Genomic DNA, 16,633 nt, shown 5'->3' with positions numbered 1-16,633 from the left:
ACAGTGTCACTGTCATCAGGCATTCTGTGCTGATGCCGTGGGACAGCCCATATCCATGTGTCCCTTGTCGTCCCAGGAATGCCCTTTCCTGCTGGCTTTTCCTCCTAGTTCTGGATCCATCTGGAGGTCATGAATCGCATTTAGTCTTTTGTTTCCTTTAATCTGGAACAGTTCCCCATCTGTTCCCTTTTATGACAATGATATTTTGGTGTTACCCAGGCCAGTTGTCCTGCAGAATGTCCACTCTGGGTTTGTCTGATGTTTCATCTTCATCAGTTGTGGGTTGAACCTTTGGCACAAACTCTCCTCAGGAGGAGCTGTGCCCTTTCCACGCACAGAGGCCGGCCTGCCCAGGGTGGGTGATGCCAAGTCTGATCGTTGGGTTGAGGTGGGGTTGGCTAGGGTTGCTGCCTGTGTGAGTAGGGGGCAGTCAGCAGGTGCCCATGTGGGCATCTGCCCGTAGCAGCCTCCCTTGGGGTGGACTCTTAGCATCCTGGCCTGTGTCTGTCATTACAACACCCAAGCAGGCTTGCATTGCTCACAGCCACTCTGGACGCACACCTGTTCACCTTCACCTGTCAAAATGTTTGTTTGTTTTATCAAACTGGCAATGCTTGTCTTTTCCCTGAAATCCACAGTTTTGAAGAAGCAAATCTATTTAACCGGTAAGTGCCCGCCAGATCTTTGATAAGCCTGTTTCTGCACAAGTCATTGCCTCTCTCGTTGCTGCGGAGCCGGGCACTGCTGTGGGGAGGAATAAGTGGATTCCAGAGAACCAGAGATGGTGCTTGATCACTGAATGGAGGCGGCCAGGAAAGCGGTAGCTTTCTGTAACATTAACAGAGTAGAGGGCCCGGTAGCAAGTGAGTTTACAGCCAGTACTGTCCATGAGTGTGTGAGTCACAGCTGTGGAGAGTGGGCAGCAGAGATGGAGACAGAGGCGGCATCTTCATGCCTCATTCTCTACAGCCAGCACGCCTGCCCTTGCTAATCCCTCATCCCTCCCTTTTTTTTTTTTTTTTTTTTTTTTTGAGACAGTCTTACTCTGTCACCCAGGCTGGAGTGCAGTGGTGCAGTTTCGGCTCACCACAACCTCCACCTCCCAGGTTCAAGCAATTCTTGTGCCTCAGCATCCCAAGTAGCTGGGACTACAGGCACGCGCCACTATGCCCGGCTAATTTTTTTTTTTTTTTTTTTTTTTTTTTGTATTTTTAGTAGAGATGGGGTTTCACCATGTCGCCCAGGATGGTCTTGAACTTCTGACCTCAGGTGATCCACCCACCTCAGCCTCCCAAAGTGCTGGGATTACAGGTGTGAGCCACCATGCCTGGCCCATAATTGATTTATAAATTGTGATATAAGCACACATAACATAAAACTTACCATCTTAACCATTTTTTAGAGTCAGGGCTTCCTTCTGCTGCCCAGGCTGGAGTGCCGTGCCACCATCATAGCTCACTGCAACCTCAAACTCCTGGGCTCAAGCGATTCTCCTGCCTCAGCCTCCTGAGTAGCTGGCACTACAGGTGCTCGCCACCGCACCCAGCTAATTTTTAAATTTTTGTAGAGATGGATTCTTGCTATATTGCCCAGACCGGTCTCAAACTCCTAACCTCAGGTGATCTGCCCGCCTTGGCCTCCCAAAGTGCTGGGATTATAGGCATGAGCCACCGTGCCTGGCCGCTAATCCCTCTGTGATTTAAATGGGAAGGCATTTATTGTTGAACAGAAAAAACCCTCCATCAGGGGCTGGGTCTGTTAGAGCTTCCAGACTCTTTTGAAAATTGTCTTTGAGAAACTTCTTATCCCACGCTGCCTGCATGAAACATGTTGGTTTTTACTAGAAACAGTTTGTCACCAAGATTAAGTCAATATATCTTCATGCCAGTGTTGACTGGGTGGGAAATGATGTTTGTTCCTCCTGTCTGTTACCTCCAAGGACTCTCTCTCCTCCTCGTCTGCATCTTCCCTGCTAGCCTTTTGGGAAGAAGTAAGTGGCTGCCAGCGCTGGCTTCCCGCAGCTTTCACTCCTGTTAGTGCACAGCCTCCTCAATGTTCCTGTTCCTGAATCTGCATCCCTTTGATTAATTAACCAACTAAATGAAACGAGTGGGGCTTTTACATGCCTAAAATTAATATTCTTTTTCTCATTTATCTAAAGATGGAACCGTAACACTTAACATACCTTGTTTATGGGGCAGATTTGCTTACATTTTTGAGCTTTGGTAATTAGCCAGTCGAGCTAGCCTTTCCCTTGTGAATTTGCAGTACACAGTTGTGTGTGTGTTTTATGTGTGTATGCTGCCATCCCATCTGAATTTGGCTCCTTCCTCAGTGGCCTAATTAATTGCAACTGTTGGAAAGTGTTTATCTGATTTGGTTCATTGGGATTCTGATGTGGAACACAAAATACAGCTGTCAATGCTTTAGGCGCCTACCCAGCCATGTCTGTGTCCCATCACACTGCTTGCTGGTGCTAACACTTGCTACTCAGCATACCTACATGTGCGTCTGTAAACAGCAGTGGCCTGTGATGATAAACTATTAGTTTCAGGAATACTTGTTGAAATAGAGTTGTTTTTAAGTGGTTTCAGAGTGTAGCTTTAGCTTCAAATAAATCACTGTGAAATTAGAACTCTTAATTTGTTAAAACAAAACATTGCTTCCCTGTGTCATAAAATTTTCAAGGAAATTCTTAAATCTACTCATGGGCCCACCGACCTCTGTTGATGTTCGAATTTCTTCTTGATCCTTGAAATGAGGTTAAGAAGCATTTGGCTATTTGATCTTTTCTTCTTTCTCTTTTTCTTTTGAGACAGTCTTGATTTGTTGCCCAGGCTGGAGTGCAATGACTTGATCTCGGCTCACTGCAACCTTCTCCTGGGTTCAAGCGATTGTCGTGCCTCAGCCTCCAGAGTAGCTGGGATTATGGGTGTGTGCTAGCACACCCGGCTAATTTTTGTATTTTTAGTAGAGACGGGGTTTCGCCATGTTGGCCAGGCTGGTCTCAAAATCCTGACTTCAGGTGGTCTGCCCCCCTCAGCCTCCCAAATTGCTGGGATTACAGGCGTGAGCCACCGTGCCTGGCCTGGCTAATTGATCTTAAGGCTGCTAGGCTTAGATAACATTACTTATGAATAAAGGTCAGGAAGGATCAGCATTTCCAGGTCTTGCCCTTTCAGTGACCGGGGCAAGGAGGCTGCAGGAGGGGGCGGGTATGCTCAGGGCTGTGCATTAGAGGTGTCTCCAGGCAAATTCTCACCTCAGCGGGGTGACTGTGACTTGTCAGACTCCACCTGCCCACGCAATCACCACTCAGCTGAGGAAGCCAAGTGCAGGGGTCCTCAGGGCAGGCCGGCCAGCTGGGAGTGGAGCAGGGGTCTGTGAGGAGACCCAAGGGGTGATAGGATCCAGGAGTAAGAACCGCTGGGACTTCTGGGCTAGACAGAATCTGCTTTTATTAGTAAAGAACTTGTAAGTAGAGTCTGGATCATGTAGAATATGTCCTTTCACCCCACTCTTTCTTTCTTGGTTCTCACAGACCAGCTCAGCTAGTGAGCAAGAAACACAAGCTCCGAAGCCAGAAGCGTCCCCGTCGATGTCTGTGGCTGCATCAGAGCAGCAGGAGGTGAGACAGCGTTGCCCTGGTGATGCTCCCACCTGGGGTCTGCCCTCGTGTCCAGGTGACCAGATGCTGCTCACCTGGCCCCTGCATAACAGTTTGCAGCGAGGGCCTCTGCCCAGGTGCTCAAGCCCACCTTTCATTTTGAGAATTAACTGTCAGTCCCTCCCCTAGATGAGGGAGGCTTCCGCAGATGTCTCAACATTGTAGCAAATTAAAAATGCAGAACTGTTCACTGTTAACACATTCTTGAGAGAAGTGCACCCCGTAGGGCCAGGTGTCTCAGCCATGCTGAGCTGGGCCGACACTCACCTGTCCTGCTTGTCTCCCAGGACATGGCTCGGCCCCCGCAGAGGCCATCCGCTGTGCCGTTGCCCACCACGCAGGCCCTGGCTCTGGCTGGACCGAAGGTAGGGGCCTTGCTTTCACCCGGGGCGCCTTCTTAGTTATTTAGTTGTTTATTTATTCTCAGTTATTTAGAAAATAAGTTTTGTATAAATAAAACATACTTAGTCATTTTTGCATACACACAGTAGCGACCCTCATGTTCTGTAGGAAAGTTGTTGAGAATGGTGTGTAATTCAGGAAGCTGTCAGGACCCTGTGTTTTCTTAATGATACCAGTGCTACACAAATATATTTTAATTGGAAAAGTTCAGCATTCAGTCTCCCCACTCTCCTTCTCTCATTCCCCAAGCCATATTCCCCTCTCCACAGGTAGGCAGCTTACTTCTCCACATTGATTTTCATTTGTCTGCCTGCACTTAGAGAACCTTACAGAACCATGTGGCTGGTGGGTGAGAATGACTCCCAGCATAAACGGCCCTGCAGTGCATGTGCGGTTCTGAGCCTCATCCTTTCCACAAGTGCATCCTGGAGAGCCAGCACAGCGGCCCCACTGGGCCCCTGCTCCCCTGTCCTGGCCTCGGCTTCTTCTGTAACATCCCCTTTTCTTTCATATAAACATCAACGCAGATCAGAAAGTCTCCAGGGTGACGGGCCCCTGAGTTCCAAGCATTGCGAGTACGTAGCCCTGTGGCCTAAGGTGGTTTTTGTTGTTGTTAATGTAGACACGGCCTCTGCCTGTGCTTCCTGCCACAGGCAGCTATGCCGGCTGGACGTAAGAAGCCAAACTTCTATGAGGCTACCTAAGGGTTTGGCTTTTGGACTAAGACTCTTGCAGAGTCAGGGACCAAGTCGCGAGGTCGTTTATTTGGTTACCATATTTGATAGCAACTCTGCAGAGTGCTGGTGTGTCACTCCTAGTCCTGATGGCCCGGCCACCGCCCCACGGCCTCCCTGCCCACCTCAGCCAGCCTCTTCCCCCACAGCTCTCTGGAGTTTGTGTCGGTCACTCCCCTACTTCTTGCAAGTGGTCTCACCCACATCTGTTTCCTGCTGAGGATCGTATTGGTCTCTGCTGCGCCTGAGCTTGGTAAACAGGCGGTCCCGCATGGCCTGCACCACGACCCTCTGTTCAGCCTTGGGGCTGCTGCAGTTGCCGCTGGGTTCACAATGTGTCCACTCCTGATGAGGGACCGTGAGCCTTTCCAGGCGTTTGCTGTTATGAACTGTCCTCCTGTCGGTGATTCTTGGGTGTCTCTTGGACACATGCAAGGCCTGTGTGCAGCCCAACCTAAATGTGGCCCCAGGTCGGCCCCCAAGAGCCAGTTGGTGCTGGTCTCCAGGAGGCCAGGAGCATGAGCCAGAAAGAGCACTGGCCATGCCACCTCGGCCCTCTGGCCCAGCTGACCTCGCTTTTTGGTAGCAGTGCTCTCCCACTGAAGGAAGTATTTGTTGGCCTCTCTCTGGCTCAGGCTCGTAGGTGGTTTTCACCACTATTTGATGAGCCCTGTTAGGGAACACGTAGACCAAGACCAGAACTTGCACATTTCCACCTTTTCAGGATAATGCCCAAGCTGTGTATAAACTGGATCACAGGCAGATGGATCTGACTCTCAAGAGTCCATGGTTCACCTCAGTGTTCTTGATTTTCTCCTTCCAGCCAAAAGCTCACCAGTTCAGCATCAAGTCCTTCTCCAGCCCTACTCAGTGCAGCCACTGCACCTCCCTGATGGTTGGGCTGATCCGGCAGGGCTACGCCTGCGAGGGTGAGTGTCGTTGCAGCTCCTGGGGTCAGCGTGCACAGCCCCACACCCCTGCAGCTAAGGGCACCAGCCGGCTCCAGGGCAGCCCTGATGCAAGCAAACCAAACTAAAGTGAAATGTCATTGGCATGATTTGAGGACAGGGTTTTTTTTAGGGGGAGTGGGGAGATAGGGTCTCACTCTGTCACTCAGACTTCAGTGCAGTGGTGCAATCACAGTTCAGCTCAAGCGATTCCCTTGTCTCAGCCTCTCAAGTAGTTGAGACCTCAGACACACACACCACCAGCATGCCTGGCTATTTTTAAATTTTTTTTGTAGAGAGTTGAGGGATCTCACTTTGTTTCCCAGACCGGTCTCAAACTCTGGGACTCAAGTGATCTCCCGCCTTAGCCTCCCGAAGTGCTGGAATTACAGGCATGAGCCACTGCACCCAGCCTGGCAGGTTTATTTTTACAAATCCTCAGTAAAGGTCTGTGGAACCGTGGATCCCTGCTGTGCTGGGGGCTCCATTGTGCTGTGCGCCTCTGTGGTGACTCAACTCATCTACTGAGAATTACTACGAAGTAGATCATCTGCAGCTGTTCTAGAAAATCAGAGAGGAAAAGTAATTGTGTAAAACCTTCCACTGTCAAATTATCTAAAGATAACCACAATTATTTGTCTCTGCTTCTGGTCGTCATTCGTATTTTTTTTCTTTTTTTCTATTTCTTTTTCGAGACAAGAGTTTGACTCTGTTGCCCAGGCTAGAGTGCAGTGGCTCAATTTCAGCTTACTGCAACCGCTGCCTCCCAGATTCAAGTGATTCTCCTGCCTCATCCGCCCAAGTAGCTGGGGACAGGCCCACGCCACCATGCCTGGCTAATTTTTGTGTTCTTAGTAGAGATGGGGTTTCGCCATGTTGCCCAGGCTGGTCTCGAACTCCTGACCTCAAGTGATCCACCTGCCTCGGCCTCCCAAAGTGCTGGGATTACAGGTGTGAGCCACTGCGCCCAGCCCATCATATTTTTAAGGCTATATCTTGTGCTCTTGCCCTGTGCTGGGATTCGACATGCTCTTACCCCCTCAGTGATTGCCCCATTTCACAGATGAGCAACCACCCCAAGCCACCCAGTGCTGTGGGAGGGTCCTGGAGCCCAGACTCGCACTGGCTCTGAGCACTCACGCCTTCCTGACCATGGGTCTGTGAACAGAGATGCCCTTCATTCTACATTATAGCAGAAGCATTGTTTTTTGTTATTTCAACTCATGCACATTTTGATTGGCTGCCAAGACCCCACGTCCCCATGACCGCTGGCCTGAATTGCCGTGTAGAAACTCCCACGTGTGGGAGGCGGCCCGGGCTGGCAGGGACAGCATGGAAGCAGGCTTCTGCCATGGGCCCTTTCCCTGTGCGCATGCTGAAGACGCATTCATGCCAGAAACCCTGAGCTTTTGTGTGGATTCTGCCTTGCAACTGTTCTTACCTTTTTGGGTGTCTGGACTTGATGTGAGACTTGATCATTATTTTTTGTTTGTTTTGTTTTATTTTGTTTTTTTGAGATGGAGTCTCGCTCTGTGGCCCAGGCTGGAGTGCAATAGTGTGGTCTCAGCTCACTGCAACCTCCGCCTCCCGGGCTCAAGCGATTCTTCTGCCTCAGCCTCCCGAGTAGCTGGGATTACAGGTGCGCTTCACCACCCCTGGCTAATTTTTGTATTTTTAATAAAGGCGGGATTTCACCATGTTGGCCAGGCTGGTCTCAAACTGCTGACCTCAAGTGGTCTGCCCACCTCGGCCTCCGAAAGTGCTGGGATTCCAGGCGAGACCTGGTGATTATTAAATTGCCTCCTCAGGGCATAGGTTCTGCAGTGACTTCTCTGTAGGCAGCAAGCTTTGAAGGCAGTGTTCTTGCTCTCTTCCAGTGTGTTCCTTTGCTTGCCACGTGTCCTGCAAAGACGGTGCCCCCCAGGTGTGCCCAATACCTCCCGAGCAGTCCAAGAGGCCTCTGGGCGTGGACGTGCAGCGAGGCATCGGAACAGCCTACAAAGGCCATGTCAAGGTAGGCGGCTTCATCTCCGCCCTCAGCCCTCGGTGCCTGTGAGGTGCAGTGACCAATAGCCATGCCCAGCCACTCTTGAAAGCAGCCCCTTGCTGCGGCAGGTGGCCCTGGTGCCAGTCCTAGGGGGCTTACCCTCCTGGGCACTGAGGCCATCAGGTCGGCGCAGCCGCTGTTCTGAATGGCCTGGGCATCCTGAGGCCTCCACGCAGACGCTCACTCAGAGTCCATCCTGGGCTGAGTGTCCAGCCAGTGGGCAGAAGCTCAGTCTGAAAGCCACTGTGCCAGGCCCACCTCTACGAGACTGTCGGGCTGCGTGTACCACAGCACCCTGCATGGGGTGGACACAGCGTTGGCTGAGCTGCCAGCTTTCCCTGGCACCGTCTGCTGCCACGCATGGACCCCTCCCCAGCAACGCCTTGAGCCTTCTTGGGCAAACATCCCTCTGTCCAAACAGCTCTGCCGCCAGCCTGGCAGCTGGAAGGAGATTGTGAACGAGTGTAATGGGGCCTGGCGGCCTGCCTGGCCTGGTGGAACGTGGCCACTGTTTGTTTTTATTCATAGGTCCCAAAGCCCACGGGGGTGAAGAAGGGATGGCAGCGCGCATATGCAGTCGTCTGTGACTGCAAGCTCTTCCTGTATGATCTGCCTGAAGGAAAATCCACCCAGCCTGGTGTCATTGCGAGCCAAGTCTTGGATCTCAGGTCTGCGTTTGGGCAGCACTGTCCTTGCTCTGTGAATCTTCCTCAGCTATCTTTAGCCAAAAGGACGGTGTGTTCCTTAGTAGTCTTTCACCTCATTAGTACTTCACCTGCTTCATTATTGTATGGTTGCAAAAATGGGTACAGCTTAGTCATGACTTCAGGCGCTCACATGCGTATGAACAGACATGCATACGGGCCTGCGTGCGCAGGAACGGGAGCGCTGTAGACGCTTCCTGCCTCGCATGTGTTTGCGTTGAGAAGTTTGCCACAGGGGAATTAATTTAACATAAGAAAACCACATGCCCAAGAACAAGCAGAAGATATCCCAGAGAAAAGCCACGCGGCCCACAGCCGTCTGTGCGTTTTAGAGACCGCAGCAGGTGCTGGTGTGTGGAAGAAGTCTGGAGCCGTGGGCCATGTGGGTGTGCGTGGCCGTAGCGTTTGCTATGTGACCCTGTCTCAGTGCCACCCAGTGTCAGCTGCAGGAGCAGGCGGGGCCTCCTTCCCACTTCCTCTTAGAGTTGACATCTGTGGCTCATCTGTTAGTGAGAAGAGGACAGTGGTCATGTTACTGGCATGTGGAATGTTGTTGTGAAGGTAAACGCATCACTAAGAGGCCTAGCTCAGCCCGGGGCCTGCACACGGAGCCATGCTACTGCCTTTGTGTCATCTCTGTGCTGTGCCCGTGCACCGTCTGTTGTGTGGTGCACACGGGACTGCTCTGGGCTCAGGCCGGGGCTGGGTACTCCATCTGTAGCATTGGTTCTTGGGGGCAGGGCTGCTGGGTGGGTACCCTGAGGACAGCGAGGGTGAGTCGGCATCACCTGGCAGCATACTCCACTTTCCATGTCCCTTCCCCCGGGGCACCCGCCAGTCCCTGGCTGTGCACAGGTGTGCCCCTGGCCTGGTGGTGAAGGGCCACTGGTAGACGAAAAGTTGGCATGAGCCCAAGTCAGGGGCCCCATCGGAGGGCTCAGCACTCTTTAGGGAACCTCTTCAGAACAGCATTTCCACACTGATCCCACACCCCGCTCCCCCTCTCACCTCCACACCCACCCCCTGCTCCCCCCTCACCTCCACACCCACCCCCACTCCCTCACCCCCCCACCTCCAAACCCACCCCCCACTCCCCCTCTCCACAGCCACCCCCCCACCTCTGCACCCACCCCACCTCCGCACCCACCCCACCCCCTCATCTCCACACCTAGCCCCCACTCCCCCTCATCTCTACACCCACCCCACTCCCTCTCACCTCCACACCCACCACTCCCCCTCACTTCCAAGCCCACCCCCCACTCCCCCTCACCTCCCTCCAAACCCACCCCCCACCCTCCCCTCACCTCCACACCCACCCCACCCTCCCCGTCACCTCTCCACCCACCCCACCCTCCCCCCTCACCTCCACACCTACCCCCCACCCCCCTCACCTCCAAACCCACCCCACCCCCCTACTCCCCGTCTCACCTCCACACCCACCCCCCTACTTCCCCCTCACCTCCACCCCCACCCCACCCCCGACTCCCCTCCACCTCCACACCCACCCCCCACTCCCCTGTCACCTCCACGCCCACCCCCCACCACCCCCCACTCCCTCCCACTCCCCCCTCACTTCCACACCCCTCACCCCACTTGTCCTCTGCACTTGGCTGTTGGAGGGACTGCCTGGCTGTGCCAAGTGCAAACCGAGTCTTCTGTAACTGGCATAGTCTGGAGGCACCAGCACAGTGGGGATGAGGCTCCGGGGTTTCCCTTGCGGCATCCCTAAGCCCTGAAACACCTGCCAGAGTCTTGAGTTTGTTGGCCCTGCCCGTGTTTCTTACATCTGGGGAGGCGAGGGACCCGCCCTCCACTGCAGAACACGGTGGTGGAAGGACATGGCAGGGCAGGGCAGGGCAGGGCGTGGGAGGGCCTTGGGTCCTGTGCGCGTGTCTCCCAGCGGGGTCAATGTTTCTTCCTTACCAGAGATGACGAGTTTTCCGTGAGCTCAGTCCTGGCCTCAGATGTCATTCATGCTACACGCCGAGATATTCCATGTATATTCAGGGTATGAATTTTTCATTAATCTTTTTAACAAAGCACATGGTTAAAACTGATTGTTCTAGGCATGTCATTGTGCTGCGGCAGCCATCAGCGCACCTCCAGTGTGGCCCTAGGGTCTCAACCTCCAGCCTGGCTCCAGGTCCTTGTGCGTCCCGTCCTGGCCAAGTAGCAGCCTGTGCCCGTCTCGGGGAGCCTCCTGGCTGGCTTCTTCCCAGACACCCCTCTTCACTGACCCTCCCTTCTCCTACATCTGAAACTCCTCTTCCACTCAGTCCACGTCCCGGCCACTGTCCTCACAGCGTGTGCACTGCCAGGCGGGCGCTGTGGCAGGTTAGGCATGAAGGTGCCTCTCCAGTGCCCCCCAGCCAATTGGAGCCAGCGTTTTTGTTGACTGAGTGAGTGCTCCCTCACTGAGTTAGTGTTAGACATTGTAGCATTAGGACGTTCCTAGAAGACTGAATTGGGGAAAGAAACCCTCCAGCCCCCTCCACTGGGAATTTTCTTATAAACAGCAAAATTTTGATAACAAAACTAAGTCTATAAATTAGCTTTTACTAAATCACAGCTCTATTCAGAAACAACCCTGTCATACACAGTACAGGAAATTACCATCATTGTTACTGGAACGATGGTCATTTGGTAGCATGCGTGCTCAGAGGCTGCTCACAGGGAGGCATGATTTGGGCCAGTGTTTTTGAGATCTGCTTTTCCTGGACACATTTTCAGAATCTACTTTTATAATGATTATTCAAGAAAGCAGATTTAAAGTAGGCAGCTACTCGTAGTTTTGACAAAAGCAGAATTAACGAAAATGGGACCAGGAAGCGATCTCACGGGGCTGTTTAGAACCCCGCCCCTTCCGTGTCCTGCCGCGGGAGCCTCTGCAAGGCGCCCAGCGAGGTGGAGTCAGGGGTCCCTGCCTGGGAAGCACATCAGCCCCCGTTGCTCCTGGGGTGCGTGGCTCCAGCAGGGCCGTGGTAGCTGCGTGCGGCTTTGGCGTTTGATGACTTCTCTCTTCTCTTCTGTTTCCTGTCATGAAGGTGACGGCCTCTCTCTTAGGTGCACCTTCTAAGACCAGCTCGCTGCTCATTCTGACAGAAAATGAGAATGAAAAGAGGAAGTGGGTTGGGATTCTAGAAGGACTCCAGTCCATCCTTCATAAAAACCGGCTGAGGAATCAGGTCGTGCATGTTCCCTTGGAAGCCTACGACAGCTCGCTGCCTCTCATCAAGGCCATCCTGACAGCTGCCATCGTGGGTACGTCCCAAAGGTTGTGTCCTTCAGGTGTCTGAAGCAACAGCACTTCCGGCGGCGCTGCAGTGCCCATCTGAAAATCAGATGAAGGTCACAGGTCCATTTGGGTTTGTAGACAGTTTCTCCATGCATGTTAAGAAGCAGACGAGGCCGGGTGCGGTGGCTCACGCCTGTAATCCCAGCACTCTGGGAGGCCAAGGCGGGCGGATCACAAGGTCAGGAGGTTGAGACCATCCTGGCTAACACGGTGAAACCCTGTCTCTGCTAAAAAAAAAAATAAAAATAAAAATAAAATATAGCTGGGCGTGGTGGCGGGCACCTGTAGTCCCAGCTACTTGGGAGACTGAGGCGGGAGAACAGCATGAACCCAGGAGGCAGAGCTTACAGTGAGCCGAGATCACACCACTGCACTCCAGCCTGGGCGACAGACCGAGACTCCGTCTCAAAAAAAAAGCAGATGACCTGTGCGGACAGTACAGTTGGCCCCGGCTAAGCCTGAGGGTCAGCTCCAGGAGCCCCACACACACCCAAATCCTTGCAGACTCAATCCCACAGTCAGCCGGCCCTGTGGAGTTCGTGTAGAGAGAAAGTCACCCCCGATACTGAAGTGTCACATCCCTGGAATGCTGTATTCTCATCCACATATGGTTGAAAAGTATCTGTGAATGAGCCCACCCACGCATTCAAACCCATATTGTTCACGGTCGGCTGTACTGACTTTGTGTATGTTACTTACCCCTCCACAGATGCAGACAGGATTGCAGTCGGCCTAGAAGAAGGGCTCTATGTCATAGAGGTCACCCGAGATGGTGAGTGAGCAGGGCGTTTCCAGCCTGGGATGTCACAGGCCCAGCCTGGCCTCTGCAGACAGCACAGGGTCAGTAGCTCCTAAGGGTTAAGACAAATGCGCTTGATGAAGGCGCCGGAGGGGCCAGCGTGCCGTGAAGACCGGCATCGAGTGCATGGCGACGCGGTGCTAAGTTGCGTATCACATCCATCGAGTTCTTCAAGGGGAGCACTGAGCGGGAGTGGGTGGGGGGTCAAGGAAAGCCCCCTGGGAGGAGGAACAGCTGCAGCTTTCCCACATGTGCTGAGGCTTCACTTGAGAAGCTTTAGTTTCTTTGCTTCCAATTTTGACACTTCAGTCTTCCCAGCGAGGAAGGGCAAAGGTATCCTGGCATGCACCCGCTCCACAGCCCTGGGTCTAGGAGCAGAAACGTCAGGAGACTGGAACTGGCCATGGGCAGGGGGCAGGGGCCCAGGGGAGCATCCCTCAAGGAATCCAGCGACATTTCATGTGAGCCATAGTCCTTTCCCGACAGACCCAGCATCTCTGCATGTGATGGCCGTGGAGCGAGAAGGGCGGGGCAGCCGCTGGGCGAGGCCGTACCCTGGCAGCTCTGTGGGGAGATCTGAGCAAGCGAGGGGCTTGGGTTAGCCTGGGGGCCGTGTGAGGGCGGCGTCTTCACTGGGGGCCGTGTGAGTGTGAGGGCAGTGTCTTCACTGGGGGCCCTGTGAGGGCAGCGTCTTCAGAGGATTTGTCTCAGGGTCCCAGTGGGTTGGGGACAGCTCTTTGTCCCTCATGTGCAGCGTGAGGGCCCTCTGGTTCGGGGATGAGCTGGAAGGAGGCCCAGATCACCCCAGGGCCTTGCTGCGCGAGGACCCAGGTGGAAGCGCTGCCCAGCTGGAGCCCTGGTGCACTGAGGGGTGTGCACAGCAGCAGAGGCAGAGGAGCCTTTGGACCAGCCCCCGAGGCTGCCCCAGGAGCGCGCTGTGGATGTGGGGCAGCTTCTCCGGGGGGCGTTCAAGCCACTGGCTCTGTGGGCAGAGACGGGCTCAGGGCCGGGCTCAGGCTGTGCACACAGGAAGGGAGCCCAGGGGAGGGCCCCAGAGTGTTCCAGGCAAGTCTTTAGCCAAGGCCGTCAGCCCCTGGGAGCTGCTGGCTGTCCCGTCGGCCTCACGCTCTTGTCCTCCTTGCCACAGTGATCGTCCGTGCCGCTGACTGTAAGAAGGTACACCAGATCGAGCTTGCTCCCAGGGAGAAGATCGTAATCCTCCTCTGTGGCCGGAACCACCATGTGCACCTCTATCCGTGGTCGTCCCTTGATGGAGCGGAAGGCAGCTTTGACATCAAGCTTCCGGAAACCAAAGGCTGCCAGCTCATGGCCACGGCCACACTCAAGAGGAACTCTGGCACCTGCCTGTTTGTGGCCGTGAAACGGCTGATCCTTTGCTATGAGATCCAGAGAACGAAGCCATTCCACAGAAAGTTCAATGAGATTGTGGCTCCCGGCAGCGTGCAGTGCCTGGCGGTGCTCAGGGACAGGCTCTGTGTGGGCTACCCTTCTGGGTTCTGCCTGCTGAGCATCCAGGGGGACGGGCAGCCTCTAAACCTGGTAAATCCCAATGACCCCTCGCTTGCGTTCCTCTCACAACAGTCTTTTGATGCCCTTTGTGCTGTGGAGCTCGAAAGCGAGGAGTACCTGCTTTGCTTCAGCCACATGGGACTGTACGTGGACCCGCAAGGCCGGAGGGCACGCGCGCAGGAGCTCATGTGGCCTGCGGCTCCTGTCGCCTGTAGTATGTATATGTTTTCTGTTGCATATCCCTGTTGCTGCTTTTCCCACCGACAGTCAGCATGTGTTCGATTTTGCTTTGGTTTGTCTTCCAGTCCCTTAGTTGAGTAGTCACAGAGCATCGGGAGAGGTGGGCCCCATGCCAGCCCGCAGCAGAGAGCATGGTTCAGATCTCACGTCTCAGACCAGCAGTAGGCGGGCTCAGCAACCTCTCTCCCTGAGCACATGGGGCCGGTTCTTCCAGAGGCCTCAGCAGAGGACCCCGTCGGCGGGCATAGGCCCCTGGGCAGAAGGGCTCGGCGAACCGAGAACGGGGCGTGGCATTCATCTCTCATTTAAAAGGCCTTCCTCGTGATAATACAGAAACTTACACAGTAGTAAAGACAAGCTTGAGGGGTTTTGGTGGCCAGAAAATAATTCACCTCTGGTGTCTTAAGTTACAGTCCCTCTAAGGACAAGTATTTTCTGAAAGTGGTAGGGGCTGTTTTTCAAACAGTTGGGTCACTGAATTCGCCTAGTTGGCATGACTTTCTCTATGAATGGTGGCACTGGGGAACAGGTAGGACCAGTGGACACTTCCCGACTGGCCCGCTGTCCGATTGCTTTTAAAACCTTAAACCGGGTGGAGAGCGGTGGCTCACACCTGTAATCCCAGCACTGTGCGAGACTGAGGCAGGAGGCTCACTTGAGCTCAGAAGTTCAATACCAGCCTCATCTCTACTAAATAACAAAATATGGCTCACACCTGTAATCCCAGCACTTTGGGAGCCCAAGGCAGGGCGGATCACGAGGTTAGGAGATCGAGACCATCCTGGCTAATAGGGTGAAACCCCATCTCTACTAAAAATACAAAAAAAAATTAGCCGGGCGTGGTGGCGGGCGCCTGTAGTCCCAGCTACTCAGGAGGCTGAGGCAGGAGAATCGCTTGAACCCAGGACACAGAGGTTGCAGTGAGCTGAGATCGCACCACTGCACTCTAGCCTGGACAACAGAGCGAGACTCCGTCTTAAACAAACAAACAAACTAGCCAGGCACGGTGCCACATGCCTGTAGTCCCAGCTACTCAGGAGGCTGAGACAGGAGGATTGCTTGAACCCGGGACGCAGAGGTTGTAGTGATCCAAGATCGCGCCACTGCACTCTAGCCTGGGCAACAGAGCAGGACTCCGTCTCAAACAAACAAACTAGCCAGGCACGGTGCCACATGCCTGTAGTCCCAGCTACTTGGGAGGCTGAGACAGGAGGATTGCTTGAGCCCAGAAGATGGAGGCTGCAGTGAGCCATGATCACACCACTACACTCTAGCCTGGGAGACAGAGTGAGACCCTGTCTTTTAAAACAGAAAGGAAACCTTAAACCTCAGAATCCCTCTGATCTATCAGAGTGGCCTGCACCATCAAATCCACAGATCAAGAGGAGGCCGGGAGGAAGACGAGCCGCGCATATGGGGGTAACAGGCCAAGAGTTGGGGAATGACATTCTCCCTCAGTTACCTGAAGCTAAACCCCTTTGTCTGCCCCATTGTCAGCCTTGCTGAGACGGCATCATACCCAGGGCGTCGTGGCTAGACACCAGGCCTGTGAGGTGCACGGCCAGCTCCACCCACGGGCTTACTGCAGTGTGTCCCGGCTCCATCCCGATGGCCACACCACAGCAGACATGTGTGGGCAGTGGGGCTGGGCCGTGGGCCTGCGGTGAGGTGCAGGAAGGGGCCAGTCCCGCTGCCTCAGCACCCCTTGTCCTGGACTCTTACCCCCCAACACCCTGTCCTCTTCATAGGCAGCCAGCACAGGGTTTAAAACCACACAGGATTTACATTTTTGCAAAGCGTAACGTTGAAGAGGGCCCAGGTCACTTAGTGCAATGTATTTATAATCTTGGCCACACGTGTCTGGCGTAGACACCTGAAGTTCCTCGGTTCTCCGCCTTGGTGGGTCTTCTCTCCTGCGGGCACAGTGCAGATGCAGATGAGTTTCAGAGCTGGTCAAAAGTAATTCCATCACCTGTAGGATGCAGAACTGCTCATTCTGCACCCTTTGCTAGTGCCCTGTGTGGGTGGCCTCCCCTGCCCCTCCCCATCCCTTAGGGCAGGTGTTATCAGCCCTGTTGGAGAGGAGGCAGCTGAAGGCCACAGGGGCCGCGTGCTCTGTATCAGTCACATGTCACATCTGTCAGGCTCCAGAGCCCATGTTCTTTTCACTAGAATCTGTTTCACTAGAATCTTTTCACTGGGCATCTGTTTATCACTGAGTCAGCAAACTAGACTTCTTCCTGCTTCCTTGCAAGCGAATCCCCACAT

The 16,633-nt window shown here is 53.9% G+C and overlaps 1 protein-coding gene across 8 annotated transcripts in view, besides 1 other annotated feature; it reads left to right on the top strand.

Moving 5' to 3' along the window:
• Positions 1–16,633, top strand: part of CDC42BPB (CDC42 binding protein kinase beta) — a 125,170-nt gene that overhangs the window by 99,320 nt on the left and 9,217 nt on the right. For 2 of the 8 annotated variants that reach the window (XM_005268227.2, XM_005268230.5), the window contains exons 22-31: positions 1,940–1,990; positions 3,542–3,628; positions 3,955–4,032; positions 5,627–5,732; positions 7,628–7,764; positions 8,326–8,465; positions 10,428–10,509; positions 11,546–11,762; positions 12,506–12,568; positions 13,743–14,339. In XM_005268227.2, the coding sequence (XP_005268284.1) occupies positions 1,940–1,990; positions 3,542–3,628; positions 3,955–4,032; positions 5,627–5,732; positions 7,628–7,764; positions 8,326–8,465; positions 10,428–10,509; positions 11,546–11,762; positions 12,506–12,568; positions 13,743–14,339 (1,558 nt within the window). The remainder of the gene's footprint in view (positions 1–1,939; positions 1,991–3,541; positions 3,629–3,954; positions 4,033–5,626; positions 5,733–7,627; positions 7,765–8,325; positions 8,466–10,427; positions 10,510–11,545; positions 11,763–12,505; positions 12,569–13,742; positions 14,340–16,633) is intronic. The other 6 variants (XM_047431981.1, XM_011537387.2, NM_006035.4 and 3 more) reach the window with 5 other exon arrangements.
• Positions 11,886–13,085: an enhancer, noted in NCBI's record as "CDK7 strongly-dependent group 2 enhancer chr14:103411482-103412681 (GRCh37/hg19 assembly coordinates)". NCBI's record gives its function as "activates an origin of replication core promoter dependent on BRD2, BRD4, P300/CBP, MED14 and CDK7 cofactors, with strong dependence on CDK7, by STARR-seq in HCT116 cells {active_cell/tissue: HCT116}" and the evidence as "EXISTENCE:reporter gene assay evidence [ECO:0000049][PMID:35650434]".

Source organism: Homo sapiens, chromosome 14 (assembly GCF_000001405.40).
Source record: "Homo sapiens chromosome 14, GRCh38.p14 Primary Assembly".
Lineage (NCBI taxonomy): Eukaryota > Metazoa > Chordata > Mammalia > Primates > Hominidae > Homo > Homo sapiens.
Note: the sequence above shows the minus strand (reverse complement) of the source record. Positions and strands in the feature narration are given on the sequence as shown.